At 39.3% G+C, this 616-nt stretch overlaps 1 pseudogene; it reads left to right on the top strand.

The window, feature by feature from the left end:
- The first annotated feature begins 214 nt into the window (after positions 1-214).
- Positions 215-366, top strand: LOC124900921 (uncharacterized; annotated as a pseudogene).
- Positions 367-616: the final 250 nt, after the last annotated feature.

The following is a 616-nucleotide window of genomic DNA, read 5'->3' as shown; positions in this document are numbered from 1 at the left end:
GGCTCAGATGATATGAACAGGGCACACTATCTTGTGTGCTTAGTTCTTTTTTTGTCCTGGCTTCACCCTCAAGCCATCTTCCCTCCTAGCCACCATGTTAGTGCCAGGAATCCACAGGCTATTATCCTGGTGATTAATGTCCAAAGGAAAAGTAATAGACTGTTTCCCAGGCCTTTCAAACAAAAATCTTGGGATTGCAATTAAAATTTTATCTATAGTTTCTCAGCCTTTTGGCTAAGATCAAGTGTAAAATTTTAACTGTGACTAGCCTGACTTGAGTCAAGTGCATTTCTCAGAATCAGCTATGGCTGAGAATAGAATGTGTAGATGTTTAGACTGGTTTACTCTAAATTCTTTATATTCCACTGAATCATGTCATAAAAAGTAGACAGGCTGTTAGTACAAGTAGGTGTTTCTCAAAAGCCACAGCCCTATGAAAGGAAAATGAATACCAGATGGGTAAAGTGGAAAAAACAAAGAATGGAAGGACAGAGGAAGAAAGGGAGGGAAGAAGAAAGACAAAAGGAAAAGGAAGGGTGGGGAGGGAGGAAAGACAAAAAAGTAGTCCACTGAGACAGTGAGTTAAGAACCAGCTTTCAAAAGAAAACAAGAAAAA

This window comes from Homo sapiens, chromosome 4, assembly GCF_000001405.40.
Source record: "Homo sapiens chromosome 4, GRCh38.p14 Primary Assembly".
Taxonomy (NCBI): Eukaryota; Metazoa; Chordata; class Mammalia; order Primates; family Hominidae; genus Homo; species Homo sapiens.
The sequence above is the reverse complement of the archived record's forward strand: the minus strand, read 5'-3'. Positions and strand labels throughout refer to the sequence as shown.